The 20,250-nt window shown below is 37.7% G+C and overlaps 4 long non-coding RNA genes across 10 annotated transcripts in view; 2 read left to right on the top strand and 2 right to left on the bottom strand.

Moving 5' to 3' along the window:
• LINC00392 (long intergenic non-protein coding RNA 392) overlaps window positions 1-10,167 on the top strand; it is a 23,636-nt gene extending 13,469 nt beyond the window's left edge. The window contains exons 2-3 of the long non-coding RNA NR_047009.1: window positions 9,627-9,733; window positions 9,968-10,167. This is a non-coding gene — a long non-coding RNA (long intergenic non-protein coding RNA 392). The remainder of the gene's footprint in view (window positions 1-9,626; window positions 9,734-9,967) is intronic.
• The window catches only part of LINC00393 (long intergenic non-protein coding RNA 393), a 116,003-nt gene that overhangs the window by 31,812 nt on the left and 63,941 nt on the right, over window positions 1-20,250 (bottom strand). The window lies entirely within an intron of this gene.
• Window positions 594-17,807, bottom strand: LOC128966561 (uncharacterized). Its single transcript, XR_001749905.2, has 4 exons — window positions 17,720-17,807; window positions 15,556-15,748; window positions 1,476-1,600; window positions 594-799 (listed from the first exon to the last, which is right to left on the bottom strand). It is a non-coding gene; the product is annotated as an uncharacterized LOC128966561 (long non-coding RNA).
• Window positions 14,689-20,250, top strand: part of LOC105370256 (uncharacterized) — a 42,020-nt gene continuing 36,458 nt past the window's right edge. For 5 of the 7 annotated variants that reach the window (XR_001749902.1, XR_001749904.1, XR_001749901.2 and 2 more), the window contains exon 1: window positions 17,892-17,979. This is a non-coding gene — a long non-coding RNA (uncharacterized LOC105370256). Of the gene's footprint in view, window positions 14,742-17,789; window positions 17,980-20,250 lie in introns of those variants that run through there. The other 2 variants (XR_942064.1, XR_942067.1) reach the window with 2 other exon arrangements.

Raw genomic sequence — 20,250 nt, forward strand, 5'->3', positions numbered from 1 at the left:
TTATTGAGTAGCAATTAGATGGAAGAAGTGAGAAAAATGCTTGATCTCAGGATATTTTCACATTTCTGATGGCTAGTAATCATATTAATACTTTTTGCATAAGTAATAAGTGCATAGATAGTAAGCACTCAAATTCTTTACGTTTTAAATAATTTTTTTCAGATTCAACATGTTGTTTTTTTCTAAAAGCTTAAAGAGCCTAAAATTACCTTGTATCTTAGAGTTTATAATAATTTATCCCTTCACATTCTACAAGTATTTTTAAACTTTGAATACTTCATTAGGTATTGGAGCATATGCCCACCAGAATGTAAGTCCTACAATAGAATGTAGCCCCTATGAACAAAGGGATTCGGTCATTGGTGATGGATACCCAGTATCTAAAAATGTGCCTAGATGATAGTAGGTGCTCAACAAATATTTGCTCTCTGGAGGGAGACAGGGTTATAAAGATGAATATAATTATTTCTCTAGCTTCTAGGGTGCCTGAGGACTTTGGAGATGGATCTACTGTTGCTGTTCAAGAGCAAACCAAATTTCAAAATAAATATTTCAGTTCTTTCAAACCAACAAAATTTTGGTGTATGCAGTCATCTGATAATCATGCATATGATTTTATTATGTAAACATACATGATGAAGATAGGAAAAGGTTCTGTCTTCTCAGATGCATTTTCACCCCCTGTCAGTCTTGCGGCTCTGGAGCTTTCCACTCAGCGTGGCAAACAGCCACAGTACAATAAGGTCATTCATTGCTCATCTCTGACTGTCGAAATAGATTTTTTTTTTAAGAAAACTCACTGTGAGGAAAATAGATTTGAAAGTCAGTCATTGCCAAGAAAGATAAACTTTTCTAAACTTTCTCAGTTCCTGCATATCATAACAACGGCTAGCCTGGCTGACCTGACTACAGAGTGTGCTGTGACCTCTGCTCACCAAGAACCCTGTTGTCTTCTTTTTTCTGGATCCACAGTGAAGCTCCATTCTCAGCCTCCCTTGAGGTCATGTGTGACCCTGTAGCCGAGTTCTAGTCAATGGACTGTAAGTTGAAGTGCTATGTGCCCCTTTCAGGCCATGTTCAAAAATATGCCGCATATGTTCCCTCCTTCTTCCACATGTCTGGATGTCTGGGATGAAGGAAACCCCTGGGATGACCTTAGAAGTTACAGGTTGAGTCCCTGAATGACTACCTGGAGCTTAATAAAAAATATGGCAGCTTATTTTCCAAGACGACTGCCATCAGTTCCTTTCTTACCTATGGGAACATGCCATTCCCCATCAGAATATGGAGTCTACTCCTCCCCTCCCTTTAAATTTAAGCTGACCTCATTGACCTGACTGTTCAATAAATAAAGTACCATCGTGATGCTACCTTAAAACTCCCATCTAGGCTTCCTGGAACCTAGGCACTCTACTGTTCGGAAGTCTAAGGAGCCCTGTTAAGAGGCTCCCGAAAACCAGTATCAACTTGCTCACCCCCATGGGTAAATTGTCCTGGAAGGACATCCTCCAGTCCCAGTTGAGCTTCCTCATCTGAGATCATGCAGAGCAGAGAAGAACTGTGCAATAGAGCCTTTTCTGAATACTAAATCCACAAAATTCTGAAATATCATAAAACTAAGTATTATTTTGAGCTGCTAAGTTTGGGGTAACTTATTATGTATTGGTAGAAAACTGAAACACTACCTTACCTCCATCCTAAGACCACTCTGGAATGTATATGTGTTTAAGAAAGTATCTATTATTTTGAGCCTAGATATTTAGGTGTAATTGCCATTACAGAAAGAGGGAGAGGTATGCATTTCTTTTCTAGTACAAGTATTGTGAGAAGAGAAAAATGGACAGAGTGAGAAGAAACAGTGAGATGCAAACTATTCCTGCCTTTCCTCTCTGGATTGAAAGTTCAAGAAGTGATGAAAAGCATTTGAAATACACTGAGGAAAACAAGAGGGCAGGAGAGCTTCTGCCAAACTTCACATTAGGATCTGAGAGGAAATCCCCTTGTAGACTATCTATTGCAATCTTGGGGTGCAGCGTAGTATTGCCTGTAAGAAGAGGGTTTGCACACACACACCACAGCATTGAGTCATAAGTGGAATTTATAGAGCCCTGGAGTTCTCCTCTGTCCTTGGAGTAGGGTGGCACACAGTTGGCTGAGAGTTGGGATGAAGAACTTTGGCTGGAGTGGCCCTGGTGGGGCAAAGGGTTGATAATGTCATGAGCTGGAGAGTTGACAAGGACAAATTTGGAGTGATAACCATATCCATAAAGCAAGTAAGAGGAGCCACATCTTGATAGAGTGTGGCTAGGCCCTGTCAAGCTGAGGAACCAGCCCACAAGTTACACAAGCATCAGACCCCAACAGCAGACACCAAGACTATGCAGGGAAATGAGGCCAGGACTAGTTAGGCAACATTTGTCTCCACTCCAGACATAGCACAAAGCAATCGGGGACCCAGGCTCCCCTCCACCACCACAAGGTTGCTGGAGCCACACTTCCCTCTCTGTCCCAACACTGTCCTTAAGAGGAGCAGAAGAGAGGTCAGAAAAAAAAAGTCAATGCTTTCATCCAAATGAGATTGAGAATTTGTCTAAAGAGACTTTAAGTTATTTGATCTGAAAACACTGAATTGGGCTGTGCATTGTGGGGACTTAGGGAGGAAATCAGATCCGTTAAAGGAAAAAATAAAGAGAGCCCATTTTTCTTCCTACACATTGGAGTGTAGTTCGAGTGTATTTGTGACCCCACTGAACTATTAGGTTGGTGCAAAAGGAATTGTGATTTTTGCCATTAAGAAATCGCAATTACTTTTGCACCAACCTAATATATAGTCATTTTTACTTTCTAAATAAGTAAATCAAACCATGAACATCAGAATTATATGCATGACACAGCAGACATTAAACCTTTATTCAAGCTCAGGTCAGTGAGTTTTCTGTAGACTCTGCTGCCTCCTATCCCATATTCTATATTTATTATCATGCTTGTGACTTATACCTCAGATGTAAACCTTGAACTTAGTTTTGAGATCTAGCTATAACTGTAATAGGGGAGGGAGATAAAGAGTAAATGGTGCTTTCAAAGGATTTAACACACACACACACACACACACACACACACACACAGAGTCACATAAATCTGAACAGCAAATATTTTCTATGTATTTACACACACAGAGGCAAACCCTGCAGAGTACATGTGTGCGGGTGCATTAGATGTATCATTAGATGTAAAGAATTTATTTTGCATACCTGTCCTGTGGAATGATGGGTACCTGGAGATTTTTGTTAGGCCTAGGGTACTTGTTGTCCCTGTGCTTTATGGAGGAATGTCTGAAGAGGATTGTGATTTGTTTGCCAAATACTCACCTGGCGTCCACCACTTCTAGGAGGAAGTGAAGGGCTCTACACTGCTTTGCCCTTGCTGGGACACCTTTGGGGAATCTGAAAGCTCATGCTGAGCTAAAAGAGCATTTTAGCTTAAATACAGGATCTATGATTTGCCTATGAGACTAACGAATGAGTGTTAAATAGCTGTTAAAAGTGTGATATCTTGCAGTATCATGTAGATTAGTTTCCCCGTCTAACTTTATAGGACTTGTTGACATTCTGTCTAAAAATTATATGGTGCTGGTGGGCTCAACAGTGTAAGAGTGATTCTGTTTATGTGGGGCTAAAACAAAGAGGGTTCCAGCAGTTCTTGGCTGTATATGAGAAAGTGATAACAGTAGCAACCCTCAGAAGATTTGGCTATAGGGAAGCACTATTGCCAACCATTAATTGAAGGAGCCCACACGGAGGGGAGCAGTGATCACAGGTGCTGTAAGGGGGCACCAGTGAAGTGACTAAAGAGAATCACAGAAAGGCAACCCCTACAGAGGATTCTTCCCTACAGTTCTCTTTCAGAGTGAGTTACTCTTAATAAAAAGAAAGTTGGGCCAGGCATGTTGGCTCACACCTGTAATCCCAACACTTTGGGAGGCCCAGGCGGGTGGATCACCTGAGGTCCAGAGTTCGAGACAAGCCTGGCCAACATGGTGAAACCCTGTCTCTACTAAAAATACAAACATTACCCAGGCGTGGTGGTGGATGCCTGTAATCCCAGCTACTCAGGAGGCTGAGGCAGGAGAATCACTTGAACCTGGGAGATGGAGGTTGCAGTGAGCGAAGATAGTGCCACTGCACTCCAGCCTGGGCAACAGAGCAAGACTCCATCTAAAAAAAAAAAAAATCAATCCACTTTTTCTACTTAACATAAGTATGGGGGAAAAGGGGAAATTTCTTATCAAAAAAAATAGTGGACATAGACGCTTAGAAACTCCAAACTGAAGTTTCTGTCAACACAGAGACTCTGCCCACAGCTTCACAGACTTAGGAGTTGAACTTAAGGAAAGAGTGTTACAGAAATATAAGGGGATGAGCAGTAAATGACTGCTCTCACAATCTTATATTAAAATCAGCAGAACTTCAGTTGATAGTCCTTTTCTTCTCCATTTGAGGTACACACTGGAAAACTGTTGAGTTTGAAGGCCTTATTTTGAACAAATTGCTTGCATCTGTGAAAAGATTTTGTAACATTATCACTCCTGGGAGAAGCAGACACCCAATCTTTTAAGAAGCCCCAACAATCATGAAAAAAGAGACCAGGATATAAGGGAGGCATGTTTAGGTGATCGGTTGGGTCTTGCTGTATTTCTTAGGTTTAAAAAGGTATGAAATTCATCTGCTAGAAGTACTCTCTGTGTCTCTGATCTTTGTTCTTAGATATAACCATAACTCTTCAGTTACACTGAATTGCTGCTCTCTCATTTATTCATTTTGCTATTCTTTCCCATAAACATTTTAAATGTTAAGTCAGTCAGGCCCCCAAATTCGTCTTGTCAGATACATGTTTTTCCAATGCTAATTCACTTATAACTCTAAGAAGATGGCATCTCCATACTAAGCACAAATGTACTTTTGTTACTTGATATAGGCAGGCAAACCACTTGGCAAATCTGTCTCAATTTTTCTTCGTATTTAATATTTTTTGATCCAGTAGATCAGTTTTAGAATGACGACTTGACTTAAGAAGGGATCTAGGAACAAAAGCAAAGTTACTTTTGGAGTGTTTTAATCTCACAGTAAGCAAAGAATCAAAATCAGATCTGAAAGATTTCTTTATTTCTATTTCAGCAGCTCTTTTATCAAACAAATCCCTATCCATATTTTTTACAAAGAATAAAGAAATTGGAAACAGCAGCTCTTTTGGAGTATGATGCTGGGATTTATTGAGTGGCTGGATTCTATGATTATATTGGTTCTTAAGCTCCAGAGGACAGTGACCTTCAGAGTCCGTTGCCGAAGGCAAATGTTCTCTAGAAGGGTCCTTTAAAAAAAGAGCAAGTAAGCAGATTCAATCATTTTTTATGCAACTTCCTTTTGACCTTTCCCTTGGCAAACACATCAGCAAATTACATGTAGAATGGAAATGTGCTTGATCTGGTCAAATGACTTCTATTGATATTTTACTCCTCAATGTTTAAGGGAGAAATTGAGAGCATTGCTTATTTATTCTGATTACATATGGTAACAAGACTGTATAATATGGTCGTACTATAGAGAAGGACAGGTTTGATAACTAACTAGAAAGGCAATTTTAGGATCCATTGAAAACAAAAAGGGGCTTTCTGGCCCAGACAGGGAAGTAGAAGGAAAAATAGAGAGCAAAAATATGGAGAGTGATTGCAAAAAGACTTGTTTTCTTGCACTCTGGGAACTTTACAGACTTTGATCTTTCATGGGACATAGACTACGTAGGCAAGAGCAATCTATCCCTTCCTAAAAGCTAAAAAATGAAGCTACCACTGGATTAAACTGACAAGACAGGAGAAAGGACCAGACCAGTGAAGAAAAGAAAGCTGACAAAACGGGAGCTTAAAGGAGATTCCCAGCCACTTCTAAGACTTAACGAATGCAGTTTGATCTTAGGAAACTAAGGTCATGTGCTTGTTTGAAAAAACAAAGTAAATACCTTCAAGAAGAGTGAATACATTTTACAGACAGATTTCTCAGGAATTCCCAGTGTCTGTATGTAAACCTGTCCGTGAGTGTGGATATATCAAAAAGAGATGGATGACTAATGAGAATACGTACATCAAAAAAGAGATTAATGACAGAAATAGTCAACAAAGCAAAATTTTAAATAAATTTATTTGCTGCAAAATTTATTGTTTCCCTATTATTTGCTCATTAAAAACACTTGGGACTCAAAACAAATTTGCTCTTTCAGGTAGTTTACATTCTTATGGGGAAAGACAGACAATTGACCACAGTAAATAAAATATATAATATGTAAGTTGATGAGAAGTGCTATGGAGAAAAGCAAAGTAGTTAGAAAAGTTCTCACTGATAAAATTATATTTGAGCTCAGACTGGAAGGAGGTAAGGGAACAAAGCCTGGGGATAAAAGGAGGTAAAATATTCGAGGCAGACAAAAGAAGCAGCATAAAGGCCCTGAGGTAGGGAAAGGTTTGGCACATTCAAACATGTTCAGAGTAAAATAGATGAGATAAGATGTAGAAGAAGTGAGATTTTCAAAAGGTATCTAGGAATCATATTATGCAGGATCTTGTAGGTTATGTATGTCAGTTACCTATTTCTTCATCACAAACTACCCCCAAGCCTAGTGGCAATAACAACCGTTTATTTTGCTTACAAAATCTGCAATTTAAGCAGGGATTGGTGGAAAGAGCTTATCTTTGCTCCACATGGCATCACATGGAGCAGCTTGACGAGGGGCTGGAGCATCTGCCTAAATGATAGCTTAGTCACATCCTGGCAAGGTAGTGCTGGCTGTAATCTGTGATCTCGGCCAAAACTATGGGTTATAGACCTCATTCCTACTCTTTATTATCTCTTTCTGGGTATCTTGGGCTTCCTCACAGATTGGTGGCTAGTTTCCAAGTGTGAGCTTCCCAAGAGAGCAAGGAAGAAATGCATGGCACCTGTGACCTAGCCTTGGAAGTCACAGAGCATCACTTTCGATATACTCTACTGATCAAGTCTGCCTAAAGGTCTGTGCAGGTTCAATGGGAAGAGACATAGACCCCATTTCTTGATGAGGAAATGACAAAGCTCTAGAAAATATATGAGGCAAAAGATATTATGTGGCTATCTTTGGAAAATACAATCTGTAACACCACAATAACAGCTTTGAAATTTACTGAGTGAAATGGGTGCCCACTGTAGTGTTGTCAGCAGAGGAGTGACTTAAATTTTCAACAGGTTGTTCAATCTTTTTGTTGAAAATAGATTGTAGAGAGCAAGGGTTGAAACAGTCTCAACAGTAAAGAGGCTATTGTTATAATGAGGTGAGATGTGAAAGTGACTTGGACCAGAGTTGTAACAGTGGGGATGGTGAGAAGTGGGGAGACTTTGAATATATTCTGAAGGTAGAGTCAACAGGATTTGCTGAGAGATTAGGAGTGGGGTGTGTGAGAAAGAGAGGAGTCACGTATAACTCCTTGACTCCCCTTCAGAGAGGATATCCCCTCCCTGCTATAAATGACTAGTTTTTATTAGATTTTGTCACCATTAAAACAATTCAAAAATGAATAAAATACCAAAATAAAACCTGTTTGAATGCAGCAGAAAGTTCCCAATGCAGCCAGGATCTGGGGATCCAACACGTCAAAGGGAAGGGAAACATGTGAAAGCAAGCCCAACATCTCATGCTACTTTTTCCTTTGAGTCATTTGCCAGTTTATGAATAGGGCATGTCTGAGAGCTCAGAAGCTGAGCAGAAACATGAGCCCAACTGTCAGAGAAGCTGGTCAAAGTTGTCAGGAATCTCAAGGGGCTAAAGAGACAAAAACTGGAGTTCAAGGCTGTCAATGTAGTCACGAGAAGAGGGAACAAGATCCCAGACAGCAGAAAAGTGCAAAAAAAGGTACACCAAAAAAGTGAGCTAAACATTTGGTGATGCTTTTCCTTTTAGGAAGATAGTTTCCAAAAGGCCTAGAGGCTGAGAAGAAAAAAACAAAAGTGACTGAGAGGCTAAGACGTTAAGGAGAGCTCTTAAAAAGTCTCATAATATTCATGAAGTCCAGAGCTTGCTAAGGATGATAGACCTTGATAAACAACCTAGACTTGCAGTAAATACCTGGTAGGGCTACACCTAGGAGTAAGAGAAACAGACTAGGATTCCCAAAAATTACAACTCAGCATAGAATCACCTTGATACCAGACTAAATTAGGATGATCTGCTTCTATTCTAACTGCCTGCCAGAAGCAGAAATACATTCTCCACATATCATGCAGAGCCTCTACAATTTTTCATAAACAATATTTATAATGTAATCAATAGTTGTCAGGTCCAGGTATACTAAAGGACAAGAGTGAGAAAAAAACAGACAATATAAATAGACCTATAGGTGATCAAGATTAAATTGATCAAAATAGACTTAAAAACACCTGGGTTTAGTGCATTCAAGATAATTGATGATAAAGTAAAAATTTCAGCAGAGGACTGAAAGCCATTGAAAAAAAGTAGAAAATCTGGAATTAAAATACAACAGATTTAACAAAGAACTTCAAAGATACATTTAATCAAATACTAAAAAGAGATAAACAAGAATTAGTGAACTAAAAGACAAATCAGAGAAAAATGACCAGAGAGAGAGAGAGAGAAAGAGAGAGAGAGAAGATATAGCAAAGAATGTAAGAGACATAGTATACGTGGTCAAAGGGTCTAAACTGTATGTCATTAGATTCCTAATGAGAAGAATGAGAAAAAGAGAGATTATAGCAAAAATAATGGTGTTAAGTTTTCTAAAACTGACGAAAACCCTCAAACCACTGATTCAAGAAATACTATGAATTCAAAAGGAATATAAAGAAAACTACAGAGTCACAACATAGTAAAACTACTGAAATAAAACAAAACAACAGTAAGAAAATGTTGAAAAAATAGCCAGAGATGGCCGGGAGTGGTGGCTCACGCCTGTAATCCTAGCACTTTGGGAGGCCAAGGCAGGCAGATCACCTGAGGCCAGGAGTTCCAGACCAGCCTGACCAACATGGTGAAACCCCATCACTACTAAAAATACAAAAAAAATTAGCTGGGCATGGTGGTGTGCACCTGTAGTCCCAGCTACTCAGGAGTCTGAGGCAGAAGAATCGCTTGAACCTGGGAGACAGAGGTTGCAGTGAGCCAAGATTGTGCCACTGCACTCCAGTCTGGGCAACAGAGCGAGTCTCCATCTCAAAAAAAAGAAAAAAGCCAGAGATAAAGAAAACAATAGCTATAAATAAGTTACCTTAGACAATAAAACTATATCTGGTTTTTCAATAGAAACAATGTAAGCCAGAAGACAACGGAATCACATCTTTGCTAAAACAAAATAACTGCCTACCTAGAACTCTATACTTAGGGAAACAATTCTTTACAAATAACAAAGGTGAAATAAAGATAGTTTCAGACAAACTAAAGTGATGTCATATTAGCTATTAAACCCATATTTCCCCAAATCAAAATTCCTCAGTGTTATAATAGTAATTGTAACCACTGTACAATATTTATGGGAGATTGAGAAGTAGATTATTTGTGTTGAGAATATGTCTATTTTCATTCTTTTGTTTCATAAGGTCCTGTGCCATGGAAGCCTTGAATTCCAGTGCCCGTTACTTCTTCTGCTGCCAGTGGCTCCCATTTGTGTTCTCTCCTGTGGCATCGGATTCGATGCAGAAATGGGGTAAATGGCCATGTCCAAATATTTGTTCTTTACTTTGTCACCTGAGCCTTTAAGTAGCAATGCTAGTGTCCAGACTTGGAAGAGGTTTTACAAAAATAGCTCCCTCAAAATCTAACTCTATTCTTCCTGCCAGTGGAGCTTAGGGATAGTCTAAAAGAGCCAGGATAGGGTCAGATGCCACTACTTCTACTCATTTTACTCTCTTGCTTACAGATTTTACTCTCTTGCCTACAGATACCTGTGTACTCATCAGCTCCTATTCCTCCAGCTCAACCAAAGTTCTTTTAACAGTAAAAACCAATATGCAAAGAAGAGGAGGAAGAGATGGAACCATCAAGCCCTTCTGGGCTCAGAATATGTGTGTGTGAGCGCACATACACAGGTGCATGCAGCTTTGCAATATAAGATTAAACTGTACAATGTTCTATAATCTCCATTTTTCCATTCACTATATTATGAACATCTTCCAAATCACCATATAGTTTTGTATAACACACATTTTGATGACTGAACAGTAATGTATTCTCCACAATTTGTATTACCAAATCTTTACTGATGGACACAAGTTATTTAGAGTTTTGATCATTAAAAACATAGCTTTAATAAACATTCATATATCTTTGCACCCTTTTCTAATTATTCCTTAGGACAGGTTTCTAGAAGGCTATTTCTGTCACAAATATGTTCATTTTATAGATTTTAAAGTAAATTTCAGAAACACAAGGACATGAACAGACATTTCTCAAAAGAATAAAAACAAGTGGCCAAGAAATACATGAAAAAATGCTCAGCATTACTAATCACCAGATAAGTGCAAATTTAAACCATAGTGAGACACCATGTTACACCAGTCAGAATAACTATTATTAAAAAGTGAAAAGACAACAGGTGTTGGTGAGGATGCAGAGAAAAGGGAACACTTATACACTGTTAGTAGGAATGTAAATTAGTTCAACCTCTATGGAAAACAGCACGGAGATTTCTCAAAGAAATAAAAATAGAACTGCCATTCAACCGAGCAATCCCATTACTGGTTATCTACCCAAAGAAAAAGAAATCAAATTTAAAAAGACACCTGCACTTGTATGCTCATTGCAGCACTATTCACAACAGCGGTTATGGAACCAACCTAAATGTCCATCATCAGTTGACTGGATAAAGATAATGTGGTGTATATACACCATAGAATACTACAAAGCTATAAAAAGAATGAAATCATGTCTTTTGCAGCAAGATGGATGTAGCTTGAGGCCATTAACCTAAGTGAATCAACACAGAAACAGAAAACCAAATACTGTACATTCTCACTTATAAGTGGGAGCTAAACAATGAGTACACAAAGCCATAAAGATGAAAATAATAAACACTAGGGACTCCAAAAGGGGGAGGGGTAGGAGGAGGGTGGGGATTGAAAATTTACGTATTGGTACAATGTTCACTATTTGGGTGATGGGTACACTAGAAACCCAGTCCCCAGCAGTATGCAGTATACTCATGTAGCAAACATGCACATATACCCCCTGAATCTAAAATAAAATAAAACTTAAATATATATAGATGAAAAAAGAAATATCCACAAGTAAAATTATATTTATTTACATTTCTGTAAATGATATATGAGAGTGCTTTGTTTTGTTCTATTCATCAGCACAGGTTATTATGATATTCTGATCTTTGCTAATTTAGATACAAAATACTATTTAATTGCCATCTCAATTTATATCTCTTTGATTATTAATATAGCCATTCTTTTCATACTATAGTTGGCTACCTTACTCAAGTTTCCCTATAACTAGAAAATCTTAGATGATCCCAAAGTTTTGTGGATTACCCACTGATTATTACTGGCGCAAAAGGAAGCTCTTCGCCGGGCGCGGTGGCTCACGCCTGTAATCCCAGCACTTCGGAAGTCCGAGGCGGGCGGATCACGAGGATCAGGAGATCCAGACCATCCTGACTAATATGGTGAAGCCCTATCTCTACTAAAAATACAAAAAATTAGCCGGGCATGGTGGCGGGCGCCTGTAGTCCCAGCTACTTGGGCGGCTGAGGCCGGGGAATCGCTTGAACCCGGGAGGTGGAGGTTGCAGTGAGCCGAGATCGCACCACTGCACTCCAGCCTGGGCGACAGAGTGAGACTCGTCTTAAAAAAAAAAAAAAAAAAAAAAAGGAAGTTCTTCATTGTGTCATTGTCTTTATTTTGTATCTGACCTCTTTTCTGAGCTCAGTTATTAGATCTAGTTATTGTCGGTTGACTCTCTTGGGTTTTCCAGGTAGTGAATTTTACCCTCTGCAAGTAATGATAGTTTAGTATCACTAAGAGATATACCTTTTATTTCTTTTGCTTACTTTTTTTCACTGGGTGTTCCTCCAGAAAAATATTGAAAAATGATAAGCAGGATTATATTGCAAGTTTCTGTATTTTTTAACATTCAAATAATAATGTTGGCTTTGATTTGTGACAAAAATGCTTTGTCAGATAATATAAACATCTTTCTATCTCTAGTTTACTGAAAGATTTATAATAAAGTGTTTAATTTTTATCAAAGGCACTTTTAACATTTATTATAATAAAATATGTTTTATTATTTTGTTTCTTTTGTTCTATCAATGTGGTAAATTACATACTAGATTTCCTAGTGTTAAGCTATCACTGCAATTCTAAACTAAATGGTGTTTTTCCAACACCTAATATTCTTTTCAATGCTTTGGTGGACTTGCTAATTTTTCTTATGATTTTGTATCCTAGAATCTTATTTCTTCTTGTTACCTTTGTCAAGTTCTAGTAACATGTTATGCTAGCCACAAGTAATAAATATACTTTAATGTCCAGAGTTTTATATGCTATATAATAGCTTCATTAGCATAAACATAGTTTATTATAAAAAGATTTTCTAAAAAATTATCATAAGACCTATGAGGGGATGCACAAAAAGGGAGTAATACTTTGACAACTTCGTTTATTTCTTTTGTGACTATTTGTTCCTTCATTGTTGTTTTAACTTCTTCCTTTTTCTCTATTTTTAAAATGTATATATTTCCTAGAAAAATTATATCTTTCATCAAGTTTTTCCAAGTAGATTGGCAAAGAATTATGAATAATATTCTCTGATAATTTTTAATTTCTTACTGGCCTATAGTCATAACATTTAAATTTTTACTATGTTTTTCTCGACTAAAACAGCCAGATTTTGTCTGTACTTTTCACTGAAACTGATCTTAGATTATTTATAAATCCTATTTATTTCTATTTTTTCATTTATTATTTTCTACTTTGACATTTATGAATTCTCCCTGCTTTCTTTGGTTTATTTTGTTGCTACTTTTCTAGCTTCTTGAGTTAAAATTTTAATTTACTTGATTTTATTCTTTCTTGTTTATCAAATAAGGTCTTTAAATTTCTGAATGTGTATGTCTTGGCTGTGCCCTCTAAGCATCCATCTTTTATACAGGAATTTATAGACACACAAGCACAAGTTCTAGTTTCAGTTTTTGGGAAATGTATCTAAAAGCCCATATTCAAAAGAGATAAATGTGCAAGTCTGAGAAATTTGAGAAGTATGGTGAAATGTCCATTAGCTGTAACTAACTGGAATCATTTGGTTGGATTTGTGTGCATTTTTTTCCCTTTTAAAAGCAAATTGTATGGGAAAGAAACCCTCACATAGCTTATGCATTACAATTTTGGAATCTTCAAGGGGATTACTTGGGTCAATGCATACTGATTCTAAACTTCCATGCTTTTTTCAATTTTTTATAATGATCAATCATGTTCAGAAGGATATTCTGAGGCACTGCAAGATTATCTTCAGAAGTTACATTACTATACTAGTGTTAGGAAGTATTACACTATTTACTATACTAGTGTTAGGAAATATTATAAATATATTCATATAAGGATTGGATGAATATCTACAAGGATTTTGACAATGAGAAGTTTCTATTCAATTCTTGACAAAATACTTCATTCTCTGACATTTAAATTAAACCTAGTTGTGTAGTGATTATTATATATCACTAATAATAATGCTTACATTTACTGCATACTTACAATGAGTCAGTTAGTATTCTACCACTTTTTGTGTATTTTCTTATTCTTTAAGGCAACCTCATGAAAAAGGCAGTGATGAAGAGATGAGGCACAGTGGTTAGGTCACATGGCCACTCGGGGACTCAGACCCAAACTGCCCCAAGAGCCCATGTTCTTAATTGTTTTCCTTTTCTTTTTTTTTTTTTTTTTAAGTTGGAGTCTCACCCTGTCGCCCAAGCTGGCGCAGTGGCATGATCTCGGCTCACTGCAACCTCTGCCTCCTGGTTCAAGCAATTCTCCTGCCTCAGCCTCCTGAGTAGCTGGGACTACAGGCATGCGCCACCAGGCCCAGCTAATTTTTCTTTTTTTTTTTTTGCATTTTTAGTAGAGATGGGGTTTCACCATGTTGGTCAGGCTGGTCTCGAACTCCTGACCTCAAATGATCCGCCCGCCTTGGCCTCCCAAAGTACTGATATTATAGGCATGAGCCACTGTGCCCGGCCTCTTAATTCTTTATGACACTACCTAGTAATGGGTTGAAAAATGTGAGGCCACAAAACCACAAGAGAAATGCCCTGTGTGAATTTACCTTTGGCAGGGATGAGGCAGGATAATGTGACCCAGCAATGTGGCAACATAACTCTTTGTAAAGCTAACCCACCAATGTGGGTGACACAATGACTCCCCAGCTCAGAGACACAATCCCTTAAAGAAGATCTGTGACAGCCCCTGCCATCGCAGGAAGGGATGATGTCCGTTCTAGCATTCACATGAACACCTGGACTGTTTCTAGATTATCTTCCAAATCATGTATAAATTTTCCATCAATGGAATCTAATTTAAAGGAGGTACAATGCCCCAGTATGATGCCACACCCAAAAGGAGTATGTGGTTTTGTTTGTGACATCAGTGTTGGGAACCAGGTGCAACGTCCCTCGCAGATCACAAGACGTGCCCTCAAAATAGGCCACCCTGAAAGTATGTTTTCTTTTACTTCCATACATTCTTTCCAATTTGGCATGGGATGGGAACTTTGGGTTTGCTTCTGGGGCGTCCTTTGTTTTTAAAAAAGCTAATATTCATTTCCTCATTTTCCTTGGCAAAAAATAAAACAACAACAATAGTAATAACACTTGGCACTAACAATGAGAACCCCGGGAAAGATTAAAAGGGGCAACTATAGTAACGAAGCTACTCCAATGGGTAGCTTCATTCAAGGGAACACTCAGAAGATTCACTTAAAAACACCAGTATGTCTATGTATCACATTTTCTTTATTCATTCATCTTGTGGGGGAGGTGGGCAGGTGGGAATGGCTAATAGTTAAAAAAATAGAAAGAATGAACAAGACCTCATATTTGATAGCATAACAGGGTAACTATAGTCAATATCTTAATTGTACATTTTAAAACAACTAGCAAAGGATAAATTCTTGAGGAGGTGGATACCCCATTCTCCATGATGTGATTATTAATACCTAGTATTTGATAACATAACAGGGTGACTACAGTCAAAATAATTTAATTATACATTTAAAAATAACTAAAAGAGTGTAATCGGATTGTAACACAAAGGATAAATACTTGAAGGGTTGGATACCCCCCGTTTCCCATGCTGTGATTATTACGCATTGCATGCCTGCTTCAAAACATGCCATGTACCCCATAAATATACACACCTACTATATGCCCACAAAAATGTTTAAAAATTTAACCAAAACCAAAACCAAACACCAATATGTATATAACCTTAAATTTTCTATTGTCATACATTTATTAAGAGTTTGCCATACCTTGGTAAAAATTAGACAAAAGATGGTAACCTTATTTTGACTCTTATTCTGGATGAGCTGTTAGGTATTTCACAGCACAGGCCTTTCTTTGCAGGAACCAGTGTCTGTCACTTTTAGTGCACTTTGAACCTTCTCTGCCAAGTGCTTATGAGTTTCTCTTAGTTCTTGTACTTGCACAGTCACGCAATGTCTTCTTTAAAAAGGAAAAATAAAAGACCTTGAATAAAACAAACAGTTGATATTGATCTAAGCTAACTACAAAGGAAAGTAATTAAAGGACGGATCATTATTTCTCTGATGCAATTTTTAATCGCCCCCGCAATATATTCTCCACCCTGATTAAACCGCTACATTCAGAGATTTCAACTATTGTGTTCGAGGTTTCATGCAGTATAGTCCACTTGAATCACCTCATGAAAGTGAGCAAGGCAGGCTCATTGGGTTGTCATGAGCCTTTTTGTTTTTTTTAAGTCCCTGGCAAATAACTTCAATAACAAGAAAGAGTTTACAGACATGTAGTTGTATCAACAAGAAATGAGTTTCCATTGACTGTTGGTCCAATTGTGTCTTATATTTACTTCATTGAATTCAAATGAAAGGAAACAAAGTCTTCAAATTTAAACTGTATCTTTATAGAAGCTTTCCTACATTCTCTTTTCTTTTTCTTTTTCTTTCTTTTTTTTTTTTTAATTGAGACAGAGTCTTGCTCTGTCACCCAGGCTGGAGTGCAGTGGTACGATCTAGGCTCACTGCAAGCTCTGCTTCCCAGGTTCACACCATTCTCCTGCCTCAGCCTCCCGAGTAGCTGGGACTACAGGCGCCCACCACCATGCCTGGCTAATTTTTTTGTATTTTTTAGTAGAGATGGGGTTTCACTGTGTTAGCCAGGATGGTCTCGATCTCCTGACCTCATGATCCACCCGCCTTGGCCTCCCAAAGTTCTGGGATTACAGGCATGAGCCACCATGCCCAGCCACATTCTCTCTCTCTCTATAAAACACCTGGTATATTGAACATGCTACATATGAACAAAACAGAATAATTTGAGTTCTTGTGGAAAGGAAGTTAATTTTGTTCCAGCATGGTCAGTCTTCAGAACATATTCCTCATTTAAGAAAAGCAGAATAAAATATATATAAATTACTGTTTTTGTTACATTAATTTGCTATTTATTGCTTTTTCCTCTAAATATTGAGCTACTCATAATTTTATAACAACACTAGATGTTGTAATAGAGCATCTTGTCTTTAGCATGATTTCACCTCTCCTTCATGTGAAAGTCTTTTCTATTTTTATTACTAAATTATTTCATTCCGATTCTATTCTCTGTACTATTTATTGTTTTTTTGTATACGTTATGCCTCCCACTTAGATTGCAATCTCCTTGCAAAAAGGGGAATATATCTTTCCTTCTTTGTATTTTTACCATCTGACTCAGTCCTGTAAATGCAGTAGATAAAGAAGAAATGTTTCTTGATTATGATTTGGAGTTTGTTTAATGAAAGTTATTTTTTAAGTGAGAAAATATTAATGTGATACATGTAAAATAGTAGTAAAACCAAGAGGATCAATAATATTTATGAAGCATGTATGACATACCACCCACTATATATACTTTACATAATATAACCCTTGAGGTAGTTATTTATTATTTCCACTTTTCAAATATGGAAATGAAGACTCAGTGAGGTGAGGTTCAGGAACTTGACCAGTGCCAAACAGTTTAAGAGCTGCAGAGCCAGGTGTTAGGTCTGGCTGACTCTAAAGCATGACCTCCCTCCATTATGCTGTAATGCCTTTCATGAAAACATTAAAACACCACCTTTAATTAAAAAAGATCTTGGCTGGGCACAGTGGCTCACACCACTGTGGGAGGCCAAGGCACTTTGGGAGGCCAAGGCAGGAGGACAGTTTAAGCCCAGGAGTTTGAGGCCAGCCCTGGCAACATAGTGAGACCCTGTCTCTACAAAAAATAAAAAAAAAGTAGCCAAGTGTGGTGGTGTGCACCTGTAGTCCCAACTACTTGGGAGGCTAAGGTGGAAGGGTCGCTTGAGCCTGGGAGGTCGAGGCTGCAGTGAGCCATGATTACACCACTGCATTCCAGCCTGGATGACTGAGCAAGACCCTGTCTCAAAAACAAACAACAACAACAAACAGATCTTACATTCGGTCTGTAAAATGTTGCTTGCTGCCAAAGGTGGTGATTTCTTCTCTTCTTCCATTGATGATCACAGGGGAAAGGAACCCATCACCATATTGTGCAAAGTTAAGTGTACAAAATGGACTGTTAAAGAATATATTTTAAAACCTGAGAGAAAATAAATGTCTGAACCCAAATCAGAGAATATAAATGAGTGACAACTCAATGAGGAGAGGAAATTCCCAGCAAAGAGATTGTGACAGCATGAGAAAAAAAAGATGAGGGTAAGTAAAGGAACTGATAGGATGTCACTATGTGGGTAAAAAGGTAGGGAGAGGAGAAAAGATATATATGGATATGCATAAAATATTTCTGGAAGCATCCATAAGAAATATTGTTTGCTCCCAAATAGTGATATTGAGTTGAGGGAGATTGAGAAATAGGAAGGAGATTTTTCACTACATGCTCTTTTTTGTGTGTTGAATTTTATAAAATCTAAGTTAAAAATAAAAATAAAATGCTGGGCCAGCTATGGTTGCTCACACCTATAATCCCAGCACTTTGGAAGGGTGAGATGGGAGGATTGCATAAGGCCAGGAATTCAAGACCAGTCTGGTCAACCAAGTGAGACCCCATCTCAAAAAAAATAATAAAATGCAAATGAAGAGACTAACGTGGCTCTATAAGTATCCCTTGAACACAGAACTAAAAGATATAACAGTAATAGTAATAACGAAGTTTTGTATATGTCTGAAATACATAATTTATAAGGTGTTCTTGCATGTATTATGTAATTTAATCATAATTTCATAATGGTGTTCCTTATAAGATGGGATATGATTTAGCTTTATTTGACAAAGAAGCTTAGATTAAGCAACTTGACGCAGGTCGTATGGGTAATAGATGGCACTCGAATGCTTTGACTCCAACCAAGTTCAATACTTCCATCATACAAAAGAGGGCAGGAGAGAAAAATCATCCAGAAACACATGAAGAGCACCCTCAACCTGTTAGAATAGGGTAGACAGAGTAAAGCCCAGATTAAGATAAAGCTAACAAAAATGCAAAACACTGCAAATTTAAATATAGTCAGAACAAGAACAAGAATTTCCTAAAGCCCACTTCCTGTGAAAGATGACAGAGAGAAGATGAACTTGGCCACATTCTAATTTGCTTTTATCATCTCTGTCGACATGATTGGCTGGAAAGAAGGAAGACACTTGAGAAAAACAACTGAAGTCTGAGATTAGTTAAGGGATAAAAAGAGAGTACATAATTACTCTAATGAGCTTGAATCTCATTACCCATTGAGATTACACTCTGGATACAAAATGAGCTTGTGTTAGTGATCTGTGGAGGACAAGAGAGGTGCTGAAAGGCTGAATATATGTACATCTCCAATTTTTAAAGGGATGAAGAAAACAGATCTTGCAAACCACATGCCATAAACTGGGTTTACTATTGACTCTAGAGACAATTCTAGATAGGATTAACAAAGAAATCACTTAGAAACCCTTTAAAATGCCCTAGTCACAGAATGGAATCAATGTTTTAATTAGATTATATATTAGTTTGCTTGGGCTGCCAAAATAAAATACCACACATTTGGTGATTTAAGCCACAAAAACTTATTTTGTTGTAATTCTGGAGTCTAGAAGTTTGAAACCAAGGTGTTAGCAGGGTTGGCTTTTTCTGAGGCCTCTCTCTTGGCCTACAGATGGCTGTCTTTTCCCCATGTCTTCACATGGCCTTCCCTTTGTACCTGTGTTTAAATTTCCTCTTCTTGTTAGGACACCCATTATATTGGATTAACCTACCTTGATGACCTCATTTTAACTTAATTACCTCTTTAAACACTATCTCCAAGGTCAGTTACATTCTGAGCCACTGGGGAGCTAGGACTCTAATATAGGAATTTTGGAAGGCTACAATTCAGCCCATAACAGATTTCTTTTTATTTTTAATGATGATATAGCTGAAAACAGAAAAACAAAATATGTTTTTTTTTTTTAACTAAGATGGATGGCTGGTGTGTTAGAATCAAATGGAGTATTCTTCCAAATTATATTCCCTGCTCCTACGCCACACATAGAGATTCTGGTTATTCAGTATTCTCCTCCAAAATTCTTGATACAAACATATATGATCACCTTTGATCACATAGTAAAGGAGAGGTGAGGATATGATTTCTTGATCCTCAAACTTCAGGGCAGGGATAGTGGTGGCAGAGACCAAATGTCTGAGATGTACCTGCAGGCAAGAAAGGAAGGTCCCTGAACCATCTAGGGCTGGGAAGAGGCCACAGGACATAATAACAGAAAGTCCTGAAAGGGCCTTTAATGACTGGAGCTGTACAGTAAATGGACAGGAGTCTTCTTAAGATAATGAGTTCACTACAGAGGATGGATAGAGTTGTAGGTGGGATTTGTATTGAGGATAAAGTGTTGATTTAGCTTCTACTACCAATCTATTGATTCTATCATTTATGATTCTCTTATCATTGAGATAAGAAAATTAAATATAGAGAGATTAGTTTTCTTAAAGGATAGGTCCAA

This window comes from Homo sapiens, chromosome 13 (assembly GCF_000001405.40).
Source record: "Homo sapiens chromosome 13, GRCh38.p14 Primary Assembly".
NCBI lineage: Eukaryota > Metazoa > Chordata > Mammalia > Primates > Hominidae > Homo > Homo sapiens.